This window comes from Homo sapiens, chromosome 13, assembly GCF_000001405.40.
Source record: "Homo sapiens chromosome 13, GRCh38.p14 Primary Assembly".
NCBI lineage: Eukaryota > Metazoa > Chordata > Mammalia > Primates > Hominidae > Homo > Homo sapiens.
The window spans coordinates 60,671,594-60,696,030 of record NC_000013.11 but is presented as its reverse complement, the minus strand read 5'-3'; the positions used below and the strand labels follow the sequence as shown (position 1 = coordinate 60,696,030).

The 24,437-nt window shown below is 37.7% G+C and overlaps 1 long non-coding RNA gene across 1 annotated transcript, besides 5 other annotated features; it reads right to left on the bottom strand.

Annotated features, from left to right (window-relative positions):
- Positions 1–224: 224 nt before the first annotated feature.
- LINC00378 (long intergenic non-protein coding RNA 378) lies at positions 225–23,076 on the bottom strand. Its single transcript, NR_047003.1, has 5 exons — positions 22,987–23,076; positions 10,679–10,830; positions 5,167–5,258; positions 1,968–2,119; positions 225–257 (listed from the first exon to the last, which is right to left on the bottom strand). It is a non-coding gene; the product is annotated as a long intergenic non-protein coding RNA 378 (long non-coding RNA).
- Positions 1,969–5,470: a meiotic recombination region, noted in NCBI's record as "this region was identified as a recombination hotspot within the HapMap CEU and YRI populations". NCBI's record gives the evidence for it as "EXISTENCE:nucleotide sequencing assay evidence [ECO:0000219][PMID:20981099]".
- Positions 2,568–4,732: a meiotic recombination region, noted in NCBI's record as "meiotic double-strand break mapped by DNA meiotic recombinase 1 chromatin immunoprecipitation followed by single-stranded DNA enrichment and sequencing in the germ cells of some male individuals with the PRDM9 A/A, PRDM9 A/B and PRDM9 A/C genotypes". NCBI's record gives the evidence for it as "EXISTENCE:chromatin immunoprecipitation-seq evidence [ECO:0000229][PMID:25395542]".
- Positions 2,845–4,244: a meiotic recombination region, noted in NCBI's record as "crossovers mapped in sperm cells of males of European ancestry". NCBI's record gives the evidence for it as "EXISTENCE:DNA detection assay evidence [ECO:0005519][PMID:18650392]".
- Positions 3,493–3,505: a nucleotide motif, noted in NCBI's record as "nucleotide motif; similarity, but not exact identity (7/8 nucleotides), to the predicted 13-mer PRDM9 A binding motif (LD hotspot motif), CCNCCNTNNCCNC, found close to the center of the hotspot". NCBI's record gives the evidence for it as "COORDINATES:motif similarity evidence [ECO:0000028][PMID:18650392, PMID:19165926]".
- Positions 5,256–5,271: a nucleotide motif, noted in NCBI's record as "nucleotide motif; similarity to the predicted 16-mer PRDM9 C-type binding motif, CCNCNNTNNNCNTNNC".
- Positions 23,077–24,437: the final 1,361 nt, after the last annotated feature.

Here is a 24,437-nt window from a genome sequence, read left to right as displayed (position 1 = left end):
GTGAAAGATTGTTTATTATAGATAATTGCTTATTAAGATAAAGCATTATGGAATTTATTATGTTGAGAAGAATAATATCACATTTTTATTTTCTTTTAAAAACAAAAAGCCTCAGTATATATAAATGTGGCATGTCAGAATTAATTCAATTATATTAACTTTGAGAACAGTCCTATAGTGACTGTCAGGTTCACATCACTATTTTTCACACTGTGCTTTTTTTTTTTTTTTTGCTTCTTTTCTTGCAATATCTGAAACTGAAAGAACATTTGAAAAATTTCATCAAAGTTTATCATTAAAAAACTACTTATCTCATTTATTAAAATCCTGTTGCCTAATTTCTACATAATACCAGAAGATAAAACTGATTTTCTTCTCAAATTTACTATTGAGAAACATATAAAAGTCACCAACTTTTGTATGAACATTTAAGAAATTACATTCACTCTAAGCAAAACATGACTGGTCACACTAAAATGGTGTTTTAGTCTAAAATTATTAGTTTCAGTTTAATACCACTAATTTTTAGTATTTTAATACTATATTATTTGACAAGTTTTGTGTTTATTTCCTTACAATAAGAACTTTCAAACCAGGAAAATATCATGTAAGTTAGCATCATGAATTTGAGGTGCTGATTTGAATATGCAGTCTATGTGCTTGCTTTTTCTTTTCTCTCCCCATCCCCCTGCCCCCTGTGCTCCCCCCTGAAATGGCAATGGTTAGGCCTTCGTGGCAACCAAACACAGATGCTAGATTGCTGAATGGACTCTCTACTTTCAAAAGATGTTCTTTTCAACGATATATAAAGCTACAGAACTAAAAAAAAAAAAACTAAAGAACTAATGTAAAATTACTTCCTCCAAACACAGAAAGGGCTGCGTTTGGATACTTTCAACATGTTGTCCAAATCCACTTCTCACAGAATGAACAAGGTAGGAAAATGGAGCACACATGGGGGATCATCGGTCCAGTTCCACGGATAATCACTGGCACCGCCATTGTTATCACCATAAAATATATAGAATGCTGGCATTACTAAGGAACATGAAGAAAAGGCTAAATTTTTGCATCAATTTTGTAACATTTTTCTGTTATTCTCTTTGACCTATAACCAGCTTGTTTCAGCTGCTATTATAACGGGAAAAGAAAAACACTCATGCCCCATATGAATGTAGGAGTACCTATTCTTTCCTTTTCTTTCCTTTCCAAGTGTCTCCTGATTACCCACTTTAGAAAAATCACAGGATGGCTTATTCAGACAGATATTTTTCCACAAAACTATCCTCTACTGAAACCTCTAGTAAAAAGGCAAGTATCAATATGAGAATCACATTTAAATGTATCTTAAGAGTTCATCAAAAAAATGAATTAGTAAGACCACTATTACCTTCCAAAATTGCTAACATAATTCCATGAAAGAATGGGATTTCATTTAGGCTTTCTAATATCTAACCATGAAATCTGACCCATCTGTATCATTTTTATTAGAAAACATAACTTACACAGCAAAGGATCACATCTCTGGAAATGGAAGTAACTATGTAACTAAATTGTTACTATACTTAGAACTCCATTTTCTGCAGAGAAAAAAACACTCTCATGAATATTTTTAAAAAATTATTTTATCTGATATTCTCAGTTACCTTCCAGGTAAAAGAAAAACACAAAATTTTGGCCTTTGAGTACCAAATAAAGAACATTAATGGTTAATTTTCTGAGTTTTTGTACTTACTAAAGATCTTATCATTATTATGTTAATTAATATGTAAATGTTATATTAATTCACACTTATCTATAGGCTACCACTAATAGAGAATTTTTACAAACTAAGGATTTATAAAGCCTTTAGGTAAACTCATTCTGTGCCTTCTGTATTTTCGAAGAAAAGGACCTTTGGCTAGAACTTTTGCTCTGTGTAGGAAATAATTGCTCATTGTTAATTGCTAATGGATAAAGAAGTGTACCTGAGTTGTATCTTTTACCTGAGAGCCACGTCTCCATGTGAGTTGCACCTGAGAGCCATGCTTGGCTCGCCATCCTAAGCTAGATGCTGATAACAGCCTCCATTTCCTATAGTTATGTTTAGCTCCTTTCATCTTGCATCCCTAAAAATCTCCTTTAGGATAAAAAAAGCTATGATTTGTCTCTTTTTAGAAGTAATTCATGACTCTAATTTAATATATTTAAACTGAGAGCAAAACATTCCTATGATGCACTAGGTTCCGAGCCAGCCCTTGCCCTCAAGAGGATGTTTAAAGCAGCTTCATAATGCTATGAATTAATTCTAGCACACTGTCAAGAAGAAACAAATAATTAAGTACCCACTGAAGCCAAACAAATACTCTAATATCAATACAGCACATAAAACAGCACAACTTGTCAGGTAATTTAGCATTTTGGAATTCTTTCAATATAACAGTAATAGCCCCAATTCTCAAGGTAATCTGCAAATTTTATCTTGTATTGAAATGCAATTCCTTTTAAACGTTGAATCCTGCACATTTTAACGTCAGTTATTTTATAGCCTCATACATATTCCCATTTGTTCTGCTGTCAGAACCGAGCTAGAGTTAGGAGCAAAGACCAAAGAAATCCAGGTAGAGTATTCTCTTCACCTCCAGAAAGGTCCCTAACTAAACCAATTAAACATTCATAAAGAACTAAAATTATAAGAGCAAACAACAGTGGGATTTTACTGATTTATGACAACTGCAACTAAAGATGAGTAGAGGCAGGAATGGTAAGAGGTAGTCTGAAATTTTTTGGTCTCTCTTTTTTACTGAGTTAACCCTAATGTGTAGGACAATGTTTACACATAGTGGGCCCTTGTTGAGTGAACGGGAGAATGAATATGTTTGAGTCTTACACTGGTTCCAACTGTACAATTAGTTTGCAATAGCTTTTCTTATCTTGAAAATAAAATAAATTAAATGTATCCTCCTTCCATGGGATACCTTCGGCAATTTAGGACCCAAAACAACCTCTCTATCCTCTTTGCCAGCCTTGTCCCTGCCTTTAACTCAGTTATTAGGTTTGGCATATGTATAATGCCTGGGTGAATTTACATGCTTTATTAGAGAAGCCCTAGCTGCCGTGACTAATAAAACCAAGAATTTCCAAGACCCAACATAATTAAAATTTCTTTCTTGTTCATCAAATAATACTGAGCAGGAGAACAGGAGAGGTAGCCCTTCCATGAAGCCACAGAAACCCAGGATTACATGAATTCTGCCATCTTCACCACAAAGCCTGCTAGTTCATCCCAGTGTTATCCTCATACCAACCAACTGTTAGAAAACAGAGCCTGGGGAAGAGTAGGTAGAAGGCTTTTATGAGCCAGAATTGAAAGTGATGTGCAGCACTTCAAATCACATTCCATTTGCTACAATCCAATCAATGGCTGCATCTAATTGCAAGGGGATCCTGGAAAATGTGGTCCCTAGCTGAACAACCACTTACTACCAACAGCTCTACAACATGTAAGGTGAGGGGTACAGGGAGGCACAAATACTTTGTTTGGCAGCTCAATGTCTTCATCACATGTTTTCTCATCGGAGACATGGCATTCCAAGGAAGCTTGGGACCACAGCTGGCTGCTGCCCGACGCTGCCAATCTCAGGCTACCTAAAAGTTACCTTTGAGACACATATTGAAAGGGATGCAAAGATCACTGAAGAATATATTTTGTGTGCTTTTTTTCTGTTTTTTCTAAGTAATTTTGAAAATAAATGTTATTTGTGACATCACCTGGGAGCCATCCAAGTGTTACAATTCAATTGACAATACAAGTTGCCCGTTCTGTGTGACTACTAGTTCAAATGCCTAGGAAACTAGAAACTGATGGTAGAAATCAGTAATCTCCTGGAGTGGAATATAATTTTGATAGCATTTGTAGTTTAAATCCGTGAAAAAATAGGTCCAGAACTGTGTTTAATATAGCCATGAATCTCCTTAGAAGAGCTGTGTGTCATAAACATGATCTTATTCATTTTCTTCAAAAAAAAAATTCTGATCCATAGTCACAGTAGAAACGCATAGTTCTGGAAGTCGAATTTAAAGAGTTTTACATAGACTTTTTTTTAAAGGTTTTAATGACAACATCCTCTGCAACCTGATCTTGTTACTGGCAGTTCCAAGACGACTGAACGGACCTAATGAAACAACTTGAACTCTTTCAAAGCGGTCAGTAATCCAGAGGAAACACACTAGTTAGAAATAATTAGTGCCTAAGCTCTTTCAAAAAGACTAAATAGAGCACTAGGTCTTAACCTTCCAAGTGGAAGTTGTAACTAATTCTGTCTATGTTTAATGAAAATCATTTCTCACAGAAAAAGCTACCGAAATTACACAGCTGCCTCTTCCATGGAACAAAGCAGAAAAACAATGTAAGTTGTCAGAGAGGCAGCCTGGGGTACAATATTTGTCATGGTAAGTGGTAAAAGTATTAATAACTAAGATTTAACCTTTCCTAGGAACAGACTGAAAGCTGTCATCATTGAAACTTCTAAGTCATACCACATCTCTCATATTAGACAGAATGAAAAAATACAGGAAACTTCACACTTCTCCATACAACACACACCACTAACTGCCTCTACAGTATCTTCTACTACCCACTCACCTGAATTACATGCATGTCCCTACAAAGCACTTGTCTCTCTGAAATTCACAACAAGAAATCTACATATGAACTCTAACTTTATATGAATTTCCTTAAACAGTAATTTGGTTGAGTATAATTAAGGGCACCAAGATTGGAAAAAGAAAAAAGTCTGCTCACAGAGCTGGCAGTGTTACACATAGCAACTTGATCCAACTTAGCTTGTGATCAATAGTGGTGCTTGGGGGTAAAGAGAAAATAGACTGAGCATATCAATTAAAAATTGGTCTGGAGTAACAGGAGCCACTTCAGATGAACTTTGACTACAGCTGAAAAATGTGATGTCCTAAAAGGCCAAAACAGTTTCTCGCCACCATCTACAGACTCCACCTTTACAACAGGTTTAGAAAACTCAGGGCTGGTCTGTACAAAGTATAACACTTGCCATTTTGCAGTTTCTCATTTGACAAAGAAATACGCAGGTTCTTCATAGAGATGAACTATGCAGTGAATGACAAGTACTCCCAGGCAGATATCCACGTGCAGTGTGAATTTATTTTCACCTGAGAGGCTGCTCCACCACGTGCCGCAACTGAGTTTCTTGGGTAATCTCTCAGGGACTCTCCAACCAGCCACTCAGCAACCGTGTCTGCCCCTTTCAACATAACACATTATGGTAACAACAGAAGCTGATCCCCGTAAGATAGCAGCAATATAAACTTGAAAACCTGTTTCTCCTCTCTGTATTTACAATTTTGTTCCCTGGGCTAGCATGGCATGACACTTATTCTTGTTAGCCTCTCAGGGAAAAAAAATTCATCTTATAATCTTGCTATGCTCTGTTTTTCATTTTATATATAAACATTATGTGCAGTCAGCTCTGAGGAGCGGGCAGAATATAAGCAAGAACATATTCTTGCTCCAGATAACTCAATGCTACTTTGATTGGAACTTTAATTTTCTCGTGTGAAGTATTATTAAATATTCTCCATAAACTAATTATTGAAACCAGCAATCTTAGTAAGGTAATTCAGTATCCTTGTTCCTCTAAAAAACCACCACACAATAGATATATGATACTTCACACATAAACTCTAATTACACTAATTGCAATGCAGGGGGGAAACAAGCTTTGTTTTGTAGATGCCTAATAAAATTGAGCATTGGAGCATTCCAAATGAACATATTAGGCACTGATTAAGCAACAAGTCTCCTTGTCAGGTTATTTACAGAAACTAAGAGAAACAACCGTCCTCCTATAGTTCCTTTGGCCATAATTCTCCTACATAGCCCCAAACATTTAATGACTAAAGTTAAAATCTAAAGTGGGGGGATACAGCAGAACAAATGGATGTTTATATTCATGGGCCAAACTAATTTTATTTACCTTTGACAAGACTAATTAAATTAGGTCACTATTTTATATCATGAGGCATCTTACCCTTCTATATTAAGACAGACTTGGGCTGAGTTAGGGAGAAGTACAAGAAGGACATCAGTGGTTCTTTATAAGCTGGCTCCAAGAAAGCTACAAAATATTGAAAGATGCATATAACCCTGAAAGTAGTAAGGTATTATCTACAGAAAGAGAGAGAATATAGAAAAGGAAAATGAAAGAAAATAAAGGATGACATATAACAGTAGTGTGGCTGATGATGATCCTGTGACTATTTTCAAATCTTATTTTCAGGTGACAGTCTTATCACTTATGCTATGATTACACATCAACTGAATATGAGTTATATTAGTCATAAAACTAACTAGTGAACTCACACAAGAAAATCTAAAATGCCTAGAGGTGAAGAAGAAAATTTAGTAAAGCTATTTTGTTCTCTAGTGTCAGTCTATCAGAAAAAATAAAAAATTCTGGGAAAATAATGGCCACATAGTTTTTGGATGTCTTTAAATATTTACATAAGTTAGCTAGACAATAAAGAAAAAAAATGGATAGTATTTATAACAAGCTAAGTGACAAGGGCATCCACACAAACCCCAAATAATAAAACAAGTGGAGACAATTCACCGATAACCATAAGATCTACATGGTATCAGTGTATGTGCGGAAGAAAGTAAAGGGAAACAACAGGATGTCTGAGGGCCCCAAGGACAAAAGACACCAGTAATAGCCAACAGATGTTCACTGGAAATCATGACAAGTACATTAGAAAACAGCATCTGAAACTAGGAGGGATTTTGCCCAAACTAATAGCAGGAGAGTATAAAAAAACTGCATTAGGAACTGAAGGAGCTAGAAATCTAGACTGCAGAGCAGTCTAGACTTTAAGAAACTGAAAAATGAAACTAGATCTCAATCACTCACACTTTACGAAAATCAACTCAAAAGAGAGCAAAGACCTAAATGTAAGAACCAAAACTTTAAAACTACTAGAAAAAAAAAAAAAAAGGAAAATACTTAGGACATTGCTCTGGGAAAAGATTCTATGAATAAAACCTCAGAAGCACAGGCAACAAAAGCAAAAATAAACAAATGAGATTATATCAAACTAAAAAGCTTCTGCACAGCAAAGGAAACAATCAACAGGGTGAAGAAACAGCCTACAGAATGGGAGAAAGTATTTGTAAATCATTCATTTGACAAAGGATCAACATCCAGAATATATAAGAAACCCGAACATCTTAAAAGCAAAAAATCAAGAAAGCAGGCAAGCAAGCAAGCAAGCAAGCAAGCAAGAAAATTCAATTAAAAAATTAGGAAGCAATCTGAATAGACATTTCTCAAAAGACAAATGACCAAAAAGAAAAAAAAATACTCAACATAACTAATCATCAGGGAAATGCAAACCAAAAACACAATGAGATATCATCTCATCCCAGTTAGGATGGCTGTTATTTAAAAATAATAATAATAAATTTTGGTAAGAATGTCGAGAAAAGGGAACTCATACACTGCTGTTGGGAATGTGAACAAGTATAGGCACCATAGAGAACAGTAGGGAGGTTCCTCAAAAAACTACAAATAAGGCTGGGTGCAGTGGCTTATGTCTTTAATCCCAGCACTTTGGGAGGCCTAGGTGGGTGGATCACAAGGTCAGGAGTTCAAGACCATTCTGACCAACATGGTGAAACCCCATCTCTGCTAAAAATATAAAAATTAGCCTGGCATGGTGATGCACATCTGTAATCCTAGCTACTCAGGAGACTGAGGCAGGAGAATCGCTTGAACCCAGGAGGCAGAGGTTGCAGTGAGCCAAGATCGCACCACTGCACTCCAGCCTGGGCAACAGAGCAAGACTCTGTCTCAAAAAAAAAAAAAAATGAAATAGGACTACCACATGACCCAGCAATACCATTACTGGGCATTCATCCAAAGAAAAGAAATCAGAATATCAAAAAGACCTCTGCATCCCCATTTTTATTGCAGCATTATTCATAATAGCCAAGATGTGGAATCAACCTAGGTGTCCAACAACAGATGAATGGATAAGGAAAATGTGGTATATACCCAATGGAATATTATTTAGCCATAAAAAAGAATGAAATTCTGTCATTGGTTGCAAAATGGATGGAACTGGAGGACATTATGTTAAGGGAAATAAACCAGGAACAGAAAGTTAAATATCACATGTTCTTACTCATATGTTGAAGTTAAAAAAAAAAAAAGTTGCTCTCATAGAAGAATAAAGTAGAACAGAGGATACTAGAGGCTGAGAAGGGGAAGGGGAAGAGGAAGGGAGAGAGAGGCAGAGATCTGTTAAATTATACAAAATTATAGCTAGGTAGGAGGAATAATTTCTAATGTCCTATAACACCATTGGATGACTCTAGTATTACCCTCCTATTTGAAACTATATGTTATTTTTAACTAGAGTCATCCAACAGTGTTATACGTTAAATGTTTCAGACGAAGGATACGCTTATTACTCTGATCTGATCACTATACATTATATGTATGGAAACATCCTATCCAAAAAATACGTACAATTATTATGTGTCTGATATGGTTTAGCTGTGTCCCCCCACAAATCTCACCTTGAATTGTAATAATCCCCATGTGTCAATGGCGGCGCCAGGTGGAGACAGTTGAATCATGGGGGTGGTTCCCCCATACTGCCCCCATGGCACTAAATAAGACTCATGAAATCTGATAGTTTTATAAACAGGAGTTCCCCTGCACATACCCTCTTGCCTGCTGCCGTGTAAGACATGCCTTTTCTCCTCCTTGCCTTCCACCATGATTGTGAGGCCTCCCCAGCCATGTGGAACTATGAGTCAATTAAACCTCTTTCCTTTATAATTACTCAGTCTCAGTTATGTCTTTATTAGCAGCGTGAGAACAAACTAATACAGTGTCAATTTTTAAAAAATAAAATAAAAAGTGAATAGGACAAGGAAAAGAGAGATGATGGAAAGTCAATGTCCACATGAAAGGTAAAAGGAGGACATAGATGAAGGAAGTCTCAGAAAGCAAGCCACCAGGTTTTGAACACTACTTGTCTTAGGCTGTTTGGGCTGCTGTAACATAACACTGTTAACTGGGTGGCTTATGAACAAAGAAATTTGTTTCACACAATTCTGGAGGCTGAAAAGTCCAAAATCAAGGCAGATCCAGTGTCTCATGAGGGTCTGCTTCCTGATTCATAGAAAACCATCCTCTCACTATGTCTTCACATGGTGAAAGGGGTTAGGGTACTCCTGGGACCTCTTTTCTAAGGCCACTAATCCTGTTTATGAGGGCTTCCCTTCCTAAATGATTAGGGTGACCTAATCACCTCCCAAAGGCATCATCACCTCCTATCACCTTAGGGGATAGGATTTCAACATATAAATTCTAAGGAGACACAAATGTTGTCTATAACGAAAAACGTTGTCTATAACCAAAAACGTTGTCTATAACCATTCAGAAACAACAAAAGGAGGAGTACTCTGATGTTAGAATAGCATTATTAGCAACAAGACTGTGGTTTTGAATTGCTTCTTCCTGTTAAAAGAACCAAGGGCTTCCTGGAGAAATGTCTGCTTCCATGTCTGGGCCAGAATATGTACAAGGTGAGCCTGAAATACCTTGTCAAAAAATAAATCATGACTACTAGAAACATGTCAATAGGGCAAGCCAACTTTATGAGATTTCTAATGGCCAAAGATGGAAAAATTTAGCCTCTATAAGGAAAATAATTGCCAATGGATTAAAATCAACAAATGTGAATAAATCTATTCATTAATATTTAATTATCAAAAAATAATTGATCACCTTCAGAGGATGGTAAATAAAGAGAAAGAATCAAGCATTTATTCTGCCTTTCCTATATGACTATATCATTGGGTAACCATAATAGATGAAGGAAAGTATCTGTTTATTTTTAAATTCTGGTAATAATTTTTTAAATAATAGAATATCACTATTTGGTACTGCCCTCCATTCAACGAATTGATGGATCAATATATTGGGCATTAATGTTTGCCAACAAAAACAGAGACATGTTTACATGTCTCCTATAGTCTTGCCAAAATGCCAAAATTAGTCTGATTAACCCTCTGAATGGTGCTGCCATTTTTCAGGAAATAGGAGAAAAGAACAGGATAACTTATCCAAGAATACACAGTTAACAAAATCCAAACAATAGGAATCTGACAGTTCAGATTGTCTGGGTCTTTAAATGAGTAAATTGTAAGGAAAAAAAGGGGGATAAGATGATGGGCGGAGGGAGGGGATGAGTAGATTAAAAGAAAATCTAAAAGCATCAATTTTTAAAATGGAAACAACTAAAATATAATGTATAAGGGCACACTCATGGGTGACAAAACTGAAAAAATAAAATGCAAGGATGCCATTACTATAAAAGTCAGGATGCTGTTTACTCTGATAGGAGTGATTATAACAGAAACAAGACTCACCCAGGTGCTTTTGGGGTGGCTGGCAAAGTTCTATCTCTTGGCCTGGGTGGTAATTATAAAAGTGTTTGCTTTAAGATATTCATTAGCTACAAGCAATATCAAGAAAAGGGAAAATAGAAGGAAAGAAACAACAGATTCATGGCAGTTGGAAGATGGTAGAAGCTGTGTGTAGGTTCTGTCTAAACATCAAAAAAGGCTGAATTAAGATTCTCAGACACTCACTTTTCACCTCCAGTGAAGCTCTAATTGGTACCAAGCTGAAGACAAGCAGCAGGACCTTCGTCGAAAGTGTTTTGTTTCCCTCAAATCTCTGTTGTTCAGATTCCTCGTCACAGCGTTTTTGTAGCACTTGGTTATTGTAGTCACTGTAGATCCTATGATCAAGAAATAGAAAAACTGTCCTAGGAAAACTATACTTTAAATTGACATAAAGAGAAAAATTAGCCTCAACGTTCCCTCATCTCAAGTAAAAAACAAGAAGCTGGAATTGAGTGTTCCAGAGGATTTTATCTTTTTTATTGTTTTTTTTTCTTTATATATTCCTAACTTCTGTAACAATAAAATAGCTTTGTCATGGCAATATATTGTTATATCTCCTATAACAATACATGAAAGCATAATTTAATGAAATAACAATTTTAAAGCCTGAAGCAACTGCAAATGCTTAACATAGGAGGAAGATGGGAGAGGAGGTAGCTAATTTCTTAAGTTGAATCAAAACCGTGCTATGGGCTGGGTGCTGCGGCTCACACCTGTAATCCCAGCACTTTGGGAAGCCAAGGCGAGTGGATCACGTGAGGCCAGGAGCTTGAGACCAGCCTCGCCAACATGGTGAAAGCCAGTCTCTACTAAAAATACAAAAAATTAGCCGGGGGTGGTAGTGCACACCTGTAATCCCAGCTACTCGGGAGACTAAGCCTGGAGAATCGCTTGAACCCAGGAGGTAGAGGTTGCAGTGAGCTGAGATCATGCCACTGCACTCCAGCCTGGGCGACAGAGCAAGACTCTGTCTCAAAAAAAAAAAAAAAAAAAAAAATCCTGTGGTTGCCAGCCTTCTGCTGGTGCCCATTGTGTTACCTGGGCACTAAACCTCTTATTGTAGAAGGGAGCAATGTCATGACAGCAACAAGAATGGTCTGTCTACTGTGGTGTGATGGGGTCCCATGCAGGATGTTTCACCATCCTGCCTTCCACTGTGAAGTAATCTAGACATCAGCTGGAGAAGGGAAAGAAAACGGCATCTACTTCCTATTTAAGCCATGAAGAATACATATAGAATCTTTAAAAATGTTCAGGTGGTTATTTACTGCAGGTTAAGCAATACAGAGCCTACAAGGGGAGCAGAGATCTAGGGATTCCCTGCCAAGAAGTCACAATCCTACTTATGGCATGGGGCCTGCAAGCTCCCCCTTGATGAAAAGAGACTCCCTCCTCAAGACTTTCCCCTGCCCCCCAAGTCATTCGCTCCAATCCTATGCCCCCTGTTCTCTTTTAGATGGTCTTCAGACAGGATGTTTAATCAGTCCTTTCTCCCTCTGGGTCCCTCACTGCTTAGGCAGAAGGGGTGCTCTGGATTTTCCATGGTGGTCTGGACTTGGAGGCCACCAAATACCCAAAAAACAACCAAGCAATCCTGTAGTGGGAAAGATAACCCCCTGCTGGCATACCTCCTCAATATTATTTTGCTAAAGGGGCAGCTTTTCCTTTCCTTCACTAATTACCAACCAGTGCTTTATTCTTAACATCTGGGAAAGGAGGCAGGATAGCCACAGAGCTAATGCAAGGGCAATCGGTGTGTATGTGACTTAATACCAGTTTCAAACTTATCATCTACACATTTCCAGATATAAGCCTGCCACACCACACCTTCTATGTTAAGTCAGTTGCTCAAAAATCCTAATGGAAATGTCCGGGAAAACAATGTTAAAGGAGGAGATTATAGAGGGTAAGGCTGGGTCTGCTGTGAGGTAAGGCAGGGTTGAGTTTCCAAAATCTGAGATTTAAGAGGCTTAATTTTACCTCAATACTGTGCTAATACAGACCCCGAATCTACCTGGAGACTTATGTATCCACAGACCTGCAGAGATAGGCCAGGGCTCCAGAGTGAGTTAAAGACAGAACTGGGATTAATAGCCAGGACTCCCGGATTTAGGTCTTTGGCCTAATCTTCTCAAAATTTTCCCAGTAAAAAATGCTTTCCTAACAGACTTTCTAAAAAGATGGCCAGGGGGAATGGGTGGCATTTGCTTATTCTTTCACTGAACCAATATCTTTGGAGAACCTCCTGTGTATGAAGCAAATGCAAGGTACTGGCGATATTAAGATAAATAAAGATATGGTCACAAGTCCAAGGTACCAGCAATCCTAAGAAATTGCAGGCACATGAGGATGAACATTTGTAAGTGCTAGGAGAGAGGAAGGCATGGAAGGATATGATGGGTGCATTGTAGTGGAGCACCCAAACACTTACGGGCTCAGAAGTAAAAAGAGAGCTTGCTGGAGAAAGTAAATCGTGAGCCAGATTTTTTTTTTTTTAAGTGAGAGGAAGGAAAATGGGGTATGGCAGTGAAGAGGCCAAACTCACAAGATGAAAAGGTACTTTGTATGCTCAAGACAACCTTGAGCATTTCGTATTGCTAGAGCATTCCAGCAAGATTTCAGGCTGGAAAGGAAACATGATCAAATTTGCAATATATTGCTCTAGTGGTTGTGTGGAGAAGGAACAAAACTAGAGTCCAAGAAACCATTTTACAAGGTTGGTAGTAACCCAGGCCAGATATTCTATAGGTCAGAACTATAGAAGAGCATGATGGAGAAAAGATAATAAAGGAAGACACAAAAGCAAAGGGTGAAAATCAACAGTACTATTTTTGCTCTTCTTTTCTTTGGAGCGTTCCATAAATTGAACTTAAGTGTAGAGTACATTGTATACATTTTATACTGAAGTGTATTACAGGAAAACATTCCATTAATCAATAAATGTGGAAGAGTAATTATTTTTTTAGTTAAAAGAACATGTATTTTCAAATAAAGAGGTCCCTGAAGCTTTGCTTTTACTGTGCTAACATGTTTAAATCTTGATTGTTGTCTGTAGAGTAAGGGGAATTGGATTTAAATGTTGGCTTAGACACTTTTTCAGCCTGAGTAGCAGATTCCTTATTTATGAATTTAGTCTAATTATTCTTTTATCAAAAAAAATTTAGAGATTCAAATGAGTTGGCAAACAAGAAAACAATTTCCCTGAAGGGGAGGAAATGTGTCTTATTTATCTTTATATTAACAAAAAGAAAAGCTTCTATTTGAACTTTTTCCAAGTATAGAAACAGGAAAGCATCAAAATTCTTTTTCTGAAGCAAGGAAAACTTTTATACTGCTATCTGAGATAATGATTAAGTTGATTAAGTACTATTCTAAGCATGTTTCATGAATTCCCTTTAATCCTCACAATAACAACCAGAATGTGTCAAGGCTGGGATTCAAAACCAGGTTGTCTGGTGCTGGCCTGTGAGATCTTTACCACCAAACTCACAGCCTCTTAATAATTATTTTAATGTGACTGTGAATAAAGTTGATATACAAAATGAGTAACATATATATATATAATAACAAGCAATTAGAAACTATAAAAGAAACTATAAAAAGAAAACAGTAAAAAAAGATCAAATGTGTTATAAGCTTAAAAAGAAATTTAGATGAATACTTTTAAATGCACCTGAAGAAACTAAATACCCAAATAAAAGTATAACTTGTTCTAGGGTGAAAAGAAACAATTCTCCCTATATTTATGTTTATACATATATACTCATAATGTGTATATATGCATATACATGTGTATATACGTATATATACACACGTATATAGGCGCATATACGTGTGTGTATATACGTATATACACACGTATATATGCCTATATACGTGTATATACGTATATACATACGTGTATATGTGTATATATATGTGTATATGTGTATATATACATGTATATGTGTATATACATACATGTGTTTATACATACATATACATATGTATACACAAACACATACATATGTGTATATATACATGCATGCATATGTATATGTATTCATGCATATATACATACATGCATATGTATGTGCATGTGCATGTTTATGCACGCATACATATGTGTATGTGTGTATACATATGTATATATGTATATAAATGTGTGTATACATACATATATGAATATGAAACATATATATGAATGTATGTGATCTCTAGAAAAATAGGCTTATTAACTTCTCAAGCTGATTTTTAAAACACCTGTATAAAAATAAATCAGCCAAGAAATTTTTAAATAAAAGGAATGTCTACAATATGACAGCAAAACATGTTTAAATCCACAGTAAATTTAAATCTGCAGTAATAAATTGTAAAAATACAGATCTATGGACTAACTAGAAATAAACTCAAGTACATATAGGAATTCTTTATATCAAAAAGGTGACATTTTATAAGAATGGAGGAAAACAAATTATTCACTAAATGATGTTGGGATAATTGAATAGCCATAAAGAAAACTGCAATTGAATTATCTTACCCTTTTTACAACAAAATTGCAAATAACACAAAGATTTAATTGTACAAAGAAAATACAGATAGAGATGTCTTATAATCTCACTGAAAAAAAAGACTTTTTCTTAACCTGACCCAAAAAAGAAAAACAGGCATTCTTATGAGAATCATAAATTCAACCACAATTTTTAAGAATTTAATTCATAGAAAAAAAAAAAAACACTATAATTAAAATCAAAAGACAAATGAAAAATTGGCCAAAACAAAAATATTACATATAGGTAAATGATTAATTTTCTTAATACATAAATCTTTAAATGGAAAAGAAAATATTGAATAATATCCCAAAAAAACAGTAAGCAAAAGATATGAACTATCACTAAAAAGACAGAAAAGCTGCAATAAATTTACATATATGTAGACATTTTAACATTGTCAGGAGCTCAGCTCAGCTGCCAGATGTCAGGGTAGCCAATGAAAACAATAAGCCAAAATGAAAGTTACAGTGAAGCTTTTAATTACTTCCTGCAAAGGGACTAAGCCAGAGAAAACATTGGCTCCTCCTGGCTCATTTCCTTCCATGGAACAGTGTCAGTAGAGCAACGTGGATCAGCACAGAGGAAGCCCCCAAAAAAAGTCTCCTGCAGCTTTATGGACTCAGAGCTAAAGGAGGGCAATGATGAAGTATGGAAAAGTACTGGGTACTGTAGTACTGAGTCAGAGTGGAGAAAAGTGTCTTCAAATCTCCCCATACCCCACTTGCCCAAAAGGAGATATCAACAGAGACACGTGAGGAATATCTCAGCGAAACCCCCAGATAAAGAGGCTTCTGAATGAAAGAGCCTGAGCTAGAAAGGCAGCTTTGCATAAGGGCATGGTAGGCCAAGGGTTCCTAGGTCCTTAACTGCAAGTCCTCACAGAGGCTGCTGTTCAGGGGCTATGCACTAAGTCTGTGTGGGGAGGGCAGCTTCCTCCAGGAGGCCTGCCAGGCAAAGCCTTTTAAATTGCCTATGGTCAGGTCTGAAAAATCACACAAAAGTTTTTTAGCAGGAGCCGGACTCCTCAAAGATCTATTGTATTAAGAGAAAAAATTAAGACTATCAAATTCCGTTTTTACTTACAATTTAGCAAAAATCAAAAAAGCTGAAAACCTGTGTGTGGCGTGAGTGTAGGGAAATTTGTATACTTTGTTCATAGGTGTATAAATGGTACTTTTTGTTGTAAAAAATGATCTCATGTTAAGGAAATTTGAAAATGTCTATCAAAAGTAATTATATATATACCATTTATCCAAGCAATTTTAATTCTAAAAATTTGTCTTCATGTACTTTCACATGTGTGAAAATTATTTGTCTTCTTATACTCAACGTGTGAAGATGCAAATTTTGGGGGATATTCTCTGTATTACAGATTATAATGGGGGAAAGATAGAAACAAAATAATAGTCATGATAAGAGTAGTTAATTATGATTTCTATAATTGAGTAATAAATAGCTGTCAAGAAACAGCCATATGTGTACAACAGTTCCCACTTGTCCAGTTTTGCTTTCTACAGATTCAGCTACCCATAGCCAACCATGATCTGAAAACATTACATAGAAAATTGCAGAAATAAACAATTCATAATTCTTATATCACAAAGCATTCTGAGTAGCATTGTGAAATCTTGCATGGTCCCTCTTCCACCCCGGACATGAATCATCCCTTTGTCCAGAGTACCCATGCTGTTAATGCTCCCTGCCCACTAGTCACTTAGAAACCCTCTGGGTTATCAAATCAACTGTCTTGATATTACAGTGCTTGGTTCAAGTAAGCCTTATTTTACTTAATAATGGCACCAAAGTGCAAGAGTAGGAATACCGGCTAACCGGATGTGCCGAAAAGAAGTCATAGTGCTTCCTTTCAGTAAAAAGGTGAAAGCCCTCAACTTAAGAAAAAAAATCACATGCTGCAGTTGCTAAGATACATGGTAAGAACAAATCTATGACATTGTGAAGAAAGAAAAAGAAATTTGTGCATAACACATACAGTATTCTGTACTATCCATGGTTTCAGGCATCCACTGGGAGTCTTGGAACTTACCCTAGTGGATAAGGAAAGTCAACTGTACTAGGATTGAACAATCACCACTAAATATTCTTAAGGCGAAAAGAAACAAAGTGGAGCACAGTGCATGTAATATACTGCATTGTGTAAAGAAAGGATGTTGCAGAGTGTGGTTAAGCCCAGCTCTGGTAAGACGACTCGGGTTCACTTCCAGGCTCTGCCACTTTCAAGCAGATCTTTAGCAAAGAAATTTTTTGGCTACTCAGTTTACTCACCTGTAAAGTGAGTATCATAGCAGTCTCTGGTCATAGAGCTGCTGTAGAAATTAAATAAGCCTGCTAGTTGTCTTCTTCCTGGCACACCCTTGGCCACATTTGCCAGCCTTCCTTATGGGAAGATGTGGCGTGTGAATGAATTCTGGCCGATGATTGGCAAGCCAGGCCCATAAAAGCCGCTCAGCTGCCACCTTCTATGCTATTTCTCCTTTTTCCAGCTAGATACTGATGGCCAGTGTGGTCTTGGAAGCCACATCCTAAGGATGGCAAGGCCCCCATCAGTCAGTGCACTCAACTGACTCACTGGGGTGCCAGAGCACCCCCTCATTTATAAAAATAAAATATTTTTACAATGTATTCAAACTTTTATTTTAGATACAGAGGGTACATATACAGATTTGTTAGATGGGAATATTGCATAATGTTGAGGTTTGGAGTATGGATCCCATCACTCAAGTAGTAAGCATAGTACCTAATATGTAGTTTTTTGACCCATCCCCGCCTGCACCCTTTAGAGGTACACAGTGTCAGTTGTTCCCACATTTATGTCCATGTGTGCTCAGTGATTAGCTCCCACTTATAAGTGAGAATGTCCAGTGTTTGGTTTTCTGTTCCTGCGATACTATCTCACACCAGCCAGAAGGGCTGTTAATAAAAAGTCAAAAAACAACAGATGCTGATGAGGCTATGGAGAAAAGGGAATTCTTAAATACATCCTCTCCTAATTGCCATTGCTGCTCACAATTCAGGGACTTAATCCCACTGAGATCTTGGAAATACAGTTCATCCATATACTCTAGGAAGTTAAATGACTTGATGAATCCATACCTGTGCTTCCCCGTGATGTCCTGAGAACTCTGACACTCCTGAAGAAACAGGCTGAGGGTGCTTTCTTGGTCATGTGCCATATTACAATGCCTCCTTTAACCATAAGCATGCAGATTAGAATCTGTCTCTAGAAAAGCTTGATATAGCAAGGCTTAGGCCATTCCAGATCCACTAGATAATTGATAGAAGATACAACAAATAAAAAGAATTGGAGCTTATCAATTCTTTCATCCTGATATCTTACACTGTGTTAGAAGAGCTTTTTGTGGGCTGCTTTAATATTTGTATTCTAGAGTTAAGAAAGCTCACCTCTCAGCACTCCAAATGAGAAAGTTAAAGCTTCAATCAGTCATTTTTACTGGCAATTTTCTCAGGTACAAAAAAGGAAGGCAGGTCACCTCAAGGGAGAAGCAGTGACCAAGTTATTTTGACAGCACTTGCCCATGGATATGCCTCTTTTTGCCTAACTCTCTCAGGACTTTGAAAATCAGAGAGGTCAGGAATCTCTGCTTGGACAGAGACTTCACTGGGGGCTAAGAATTAATAAGGGTATTATCAATTGATTTATTAATATTATCTTTAAAGAAAAGATCTTGGGCTGAAAAATTATTTTGATGTTTCTCTTATTTGCTAACTTTTTTAAAAACCATTTATTAATTTGGGTCCTGTCAATAAAGGGGGTGGGGTAGTATTCTCTGATCTTTATATGAATTCCTTTGAAATAATGTATTAACTATTTTTAGAAATTAATTAGCTTCTCTTTCTAAAAATGAACGCACCAGACCGAAAACTAAATGTCAGTATTGATGATTAGACCCTACTTCACTCTCTCTACCTCCAGGCAGGCTATTTATGGTTCTCCTCTCCCACACTCCCCTGCCCCCCTGCAGTAGACAGGACCAGGTGACTAGTTTTTGCCAAAGGGCTGTGAGCAGAAGCAAAGTGTGTCATTTTCAGACCAACGCATTTGGGAGCCAGTGCCCAGCTCTCTCTTTTCCTGTCATGGTGATCTGGAAGCCTCCTGTTTTCCATGGCAGAGCTACAAGCTGCCAGAGGCCTGAAACTTGCAGTCGCCATTTGGAAAGGAGCTGCTGTTTGAGAGTCACCACTGGACCATTCTGCATGACTGAGAAATAACCTTTATGTGTTAAGACACTGAAATTTAGAGGTTGGTTTGTTACCAAACACAGCCTAGCCTAAACTGACTAAACTACTTCCAGTTCTCTAATACATCTAAAGGACCTATTCCAATGTAATTCAATCAACAACACATGTTAAATAGCTACAATATATAAACATAATAGGTAGATAGAGAACAAGTATTTGCTTGCATAAAGTAGGTACTCCATAGAAGAACTAACAGTCAGACGTGGGTAGAATAAAAAAATAAATAACACATTGTCTCTCCAGAATATTTCCTAAGCTAGTTTGAAGACACCTTTATTTTACTTTAGCAAATGCCTACTGAATGTCTATTAAGTACAAAGCATCTGCTGGGCAGAAAGCTGCAAAGATGGATAAGAAAATCCCTGATCTTGAAAGGTCTGTCAGACCAGTGAAGAATACAGACAAGCTCACAGGTGATTACAGGACCCTGTGTAGGGTCAAGGCAGAAGAAAGTGTGAGTTGCCATGGAAGCACAGAGGGCTATCTGGCTCAGACTAGGAGAATCATGGAAGGCATCTTCACGGAAGTAATTCCTAAGATGCAATAGCTAGACTGATTCTCGTTCTTTTCTTTTTACAGAGGAGGACAGCTATCAAATCTAGATGCTGCATTGCTATTCAGTTGGAACTTTATATGTGTAAAGTAGTTGGCTCTTGAAGAAAATAAAATCAAAATGGAATTTCAGTTTGCTTTAAGCAAACAAAGATAGACATAAAACTCTTAACTCTTGCTGTGAATCCCAAACCATTGAGAGTCCCACCCTTGTTATGCATTTGCCCTAAATATAATCTTCCTCTGCACATTTATCTAATAAGATTCTAAAGCACATGTGTATATTCTATATTTCTGTTCCTTTCTATAGGTTATATGCCCATATCAACATGGCTTAGAATGCCAGTTGTATTTAGAGTGTATGGTCCAACAATTTAGTAAACTAGTCAAGAATTTGGATTTTGAAACCAGCTTTCCAAATCCTGGCTCTGGCCATAACTAGCTGATCGACCATAGATAGATTACTAAACTCAGAATGCATCTGTTTCTTCACCAGTGGAGATGAGATGATAGTGGAACCTACCCTCAAAGAACTGTTATGAGAATTAAATGAATTTATATATATATATATATAATCAACCTAGAATAGTAAATGTTTGATGAATTAGCTAATATTAATCAGAGTTTGTTGTTAACTCTGTAGAAGTGTTTTCACTTGGAATTTATAATTCTGTCCTAAAATATGATACTTAATTTGGTATGGAAAGAAAGCAATATGTTTGAGAAATTATAAGACTTTAAAGACAGTGGTTATTTAATAATATTAATAAACTAAAAAACAACAATTCCCCAGCAAGTTCATGAAAGAAGGCATTCTGAATGGAGGTGAGTAGCTATGGTACTGAACAAAGGCACTCCACTGAGTGCCCCAGTGTCCCCTTTGTAAAAGAGAGTATCTATTTTGCCTATTTAAATAAAAGGTCTGTTGAGAAGAATATGAATATTAAATCCTATCAATTTCATGTCTCTGTGAGGTGCCATCTCTGGAACATGGTCTTTTATACCTCAATAAGAAACACTGACTGAAAAACCCTGAGGTTAGGAAGTCATATGAAGCAGTCTCCTCACTCTAGTCAAATTCATCTGAATTGTTTTATTTTACAGATAATACAACTGAATTCCAGAAATATTAGTGTTAACTAAAATTAAGAGTTGTAGCAAGGATTAGAACTCAAAATTCCTGACTCCTGGTAAAATGGACTTACTGGGCTTTAACTTCAACCATACAGTGCTTAGTATTACAAAGTGTAACATCCCACTATTTTCTAAACTGAAAATAGATCAGTTGAGTGACTACAATCTTTGAAATCAGTAAATTTTAAACATTGTTCTGGTCCTGATTTGCTCTATTCTAACCTCCAAGTCATTTGTCATGTTAGGATTTCTCACACTCTAACAACAAAAAAATCAAAGCACTTTAATTCTACCTACTTCATGGGAAGGCAATAATAATTGTAAAGTTCTTTGAAATGGCAAGTACAAGAAAAAAAATATCTGATTCAGTGTTCTCTTCCTATTTCAATATCAAAGCCCAGTGCTGCAAGTTAAGGATAGAATGAAATCACTTGAAATCAAATGGTTGATAAAATTTCCCAAAGCTCAGCTGTATCTCATTATATCAGATCCTTTAGTTACTAGGGTATGCAACTATTACACAAAAAGTTTACACTGTCTGTTCAGAAGTAGGTTGACATTCTTCCCTTCACTCTGCATTACCTCATACATTTAATTTTTAATATTGTTCTAAACCTTCTTAGATTTCATGGTGTGTGTGTGTGTGTGCGTGTGTGTGTGTATGTGTGTATGCAATGCCCAAAGTGAGAGCTCACAGAATGTGAAAAACTCACTCTTCTTTACATAGAGAGAATTCTGTTTCCTTGGTCTTTTGTAAATGTACTTTTTCCAAAAGTTCTTTTTTGCTTCACTTAAACAAAAATAAAAATCTGACATCAGGATTGTGGGTAATAATGGGAGGTAAGTGATACAAGCATATTAAAGCAAAGTCCTTCATTTGAAAGACTGATCCATCCAATTCTTAAGTGTTTGTTGCTTTTCACTGCAGAATCTGGAGGACTTACACAGTACTTCTCTAAGTACCAACCACAAAGCTTCCATGAATTTATAGGAATTTTATCTTCTACCCTGGCCCTAATGAAACAGCACCCAGCCATCAAATGTAGAAATATAGAAGCCAACACCATCAATCTCAGGTTTCAAGAGCTCCACATTTTTCTTTGATTTATGTCTAATTCATCTCTGAAATACAGGATCAATAATCGAATTAATCCATTATTTCAAACATATCCAGAATAAGGTGGGAGGAAACTGACACTACAGCAGAGAACAGTTTAGGACTCACATAAAAGCTCTTGAATTTGACAAACAGACACACCTTGCTTTTCATACTTCAAATAATTCAGAGCTGTGGGAGCACACAAAATAGAAGTTGGAAGTTTATAAAAAGAGATGCTGAACAGGAGGCTGTGCACACTGTAAGAGTAAAATCTTGAAAAATGTGAACGCATATAAATAACTTTAAACTTTAATCTGCTGAATATTTTGAGCAAGAGATCAACATAATAAGGTATGTGTTTTAGGAGCAGATTATGCATTGGAGTCAGAAAGATTAGTCAGGAAACTAATATATGAATTTGGGAGAAGTTAATGAAGCCTGAGTCAGATCAATGACAGTGACCAGAAAGGATTAATTCAAGAGACAGTCAAGAGGTATATTTGAGAGAGTGAGAGTTAGAGGGCAGATGAAAGAATCTAAAATTCCCAGAAATTTGGTTTCGATTTACTATCAGACCAGACAATTTTCTGGAGACACATTATTCAGAGAGAGAATAATTGCATGATAAGAATAAAGAAGGAAAATTGGGTCCTTCTTTCCAGATGGTGGATTAGAGGTTTTTAGCATGCCTCTACCACTTGGAAATAGCAAAATAGTGCATAAAATCAAATCTGTGAGCTTTAATTTAATAAGGAAAATGGGAATCTACCACAATCATGAAGGACATCTTAGATCCTGCAGCGGAGAATGGCAAATAGCCCCTGTGATGGCAACTAGCTGATAAGAGTGAAGCTCCAGTATGCAAGGGAAGCAGAGAGCCTCCCTCGGTGACTTACCTTTCCACTGAGGATCTGAGCAGCCCAGGCTGAGGGACAGCACTTTGTTTCTCCCAAGCCCTTGAGCTAACTTGGGGAGACACTTGGAGATGCTGTAAGGGAAAGACACCAGGAATAGCTGCAGGCATTTTCCCAGACACGCAACACTGCATTAAAAATGTAGGTTGCCATTTTTAATCTGGGCATATACAAAGACCTCCATTGTTTGGTAACCTGGCAGTGTGGCTGCAGGGGCATTTTAGTCTTGGGCCAGAGATTGGAGCATCTGCTCTGGAGCAAGGTAGGGACCTCCACAGTCAGAACTGTGGAAAGTGCCTGAGCAGTAGCTACACCAGAACTGTGTTCTCAACCACTGTAGGCCTGGAGCAGGAGGAGAGCTGCTACAGCGGCAGTTTCCCCTGGATGACAAGACTTACAGCCAGGACCAGCTTAGCAAACTGGAACTGATCTTCACGTGTCATTTCTGGGTGCCCCAGCCTGCTCCTCTGAGATTATTGTGTAGCGGGGTCATCTCTTCTCCACCCTCAGGCAGAAAACCAGGTGTTCAGAGGACCTGCTTGCCCAGACCAGCAGCCTGAGCCACACCACCCATCATGGACATAGACCAAGGTGCAGCAGGGCTCTTCTGCTCCATAACCAGGCAGATCTCCAGGTCAAAGCACCCCCTCACCTGGATCAGCAACCTGAGCCACCCAACCCTTCCTGTGCATAGATCACGGTGCACTGGGACCCTCTCTGCTCCACACGGAGGCAGATCACCAGGCATGTGGACAACCACTCACATGGAATAGTGGCCTGAATCACCCTATCTTTCCTGTACAGAGATTCTTTACAGGGGGCACCTCTCCATTTCATGCCAGGCAGATAGATCTCCAGGCATTCAAAGCACCCACCCACCTGGATCAGCAAGCTGTGCTGCCCCACCCTTTCTGGGCATAGATTGTAGTGCAGATATCCCTCTCTGCTCCACACCAGGGGAGATCTCCAAGCATTCAAAGTACCTGCTTGCCCAGATTGGCAGCCTGAGCCACCCCATCATTCCTGTGCAGAGATCTGGGTGCAGGGGGGGCCTTCTCTGCTCCATGCTCAGGCAGATTTCCAGACATTTGGAGCAACCACTCACCTGGAACAGCAGCCTCAGCTGTCCCACCTTTCTTGTGCAGAGATCCTGGTGCCAGGGGGCACCTCTCCACTACATGGCCTGGCAGATTTTCAGGCATCTGGAGCACCCACTCTCCTAGATTAGGAGTTTAGGCCATCCCCCATCCCCATGCAAAGAACTTAAAGCTGAGGAAGTTTCCCAGCTCCACACCTAGGCATACCTCTGGGTGCTTGGTGGCTGCCCACTGGATTCTCCCTCAGTGCTGGGGCTGGTGCTTGCCATCAGGGAACCTGCAACAAACCTGCCCAGACTAGATCTGCTCATCTGCCCCACTATACCCCAGGACTGA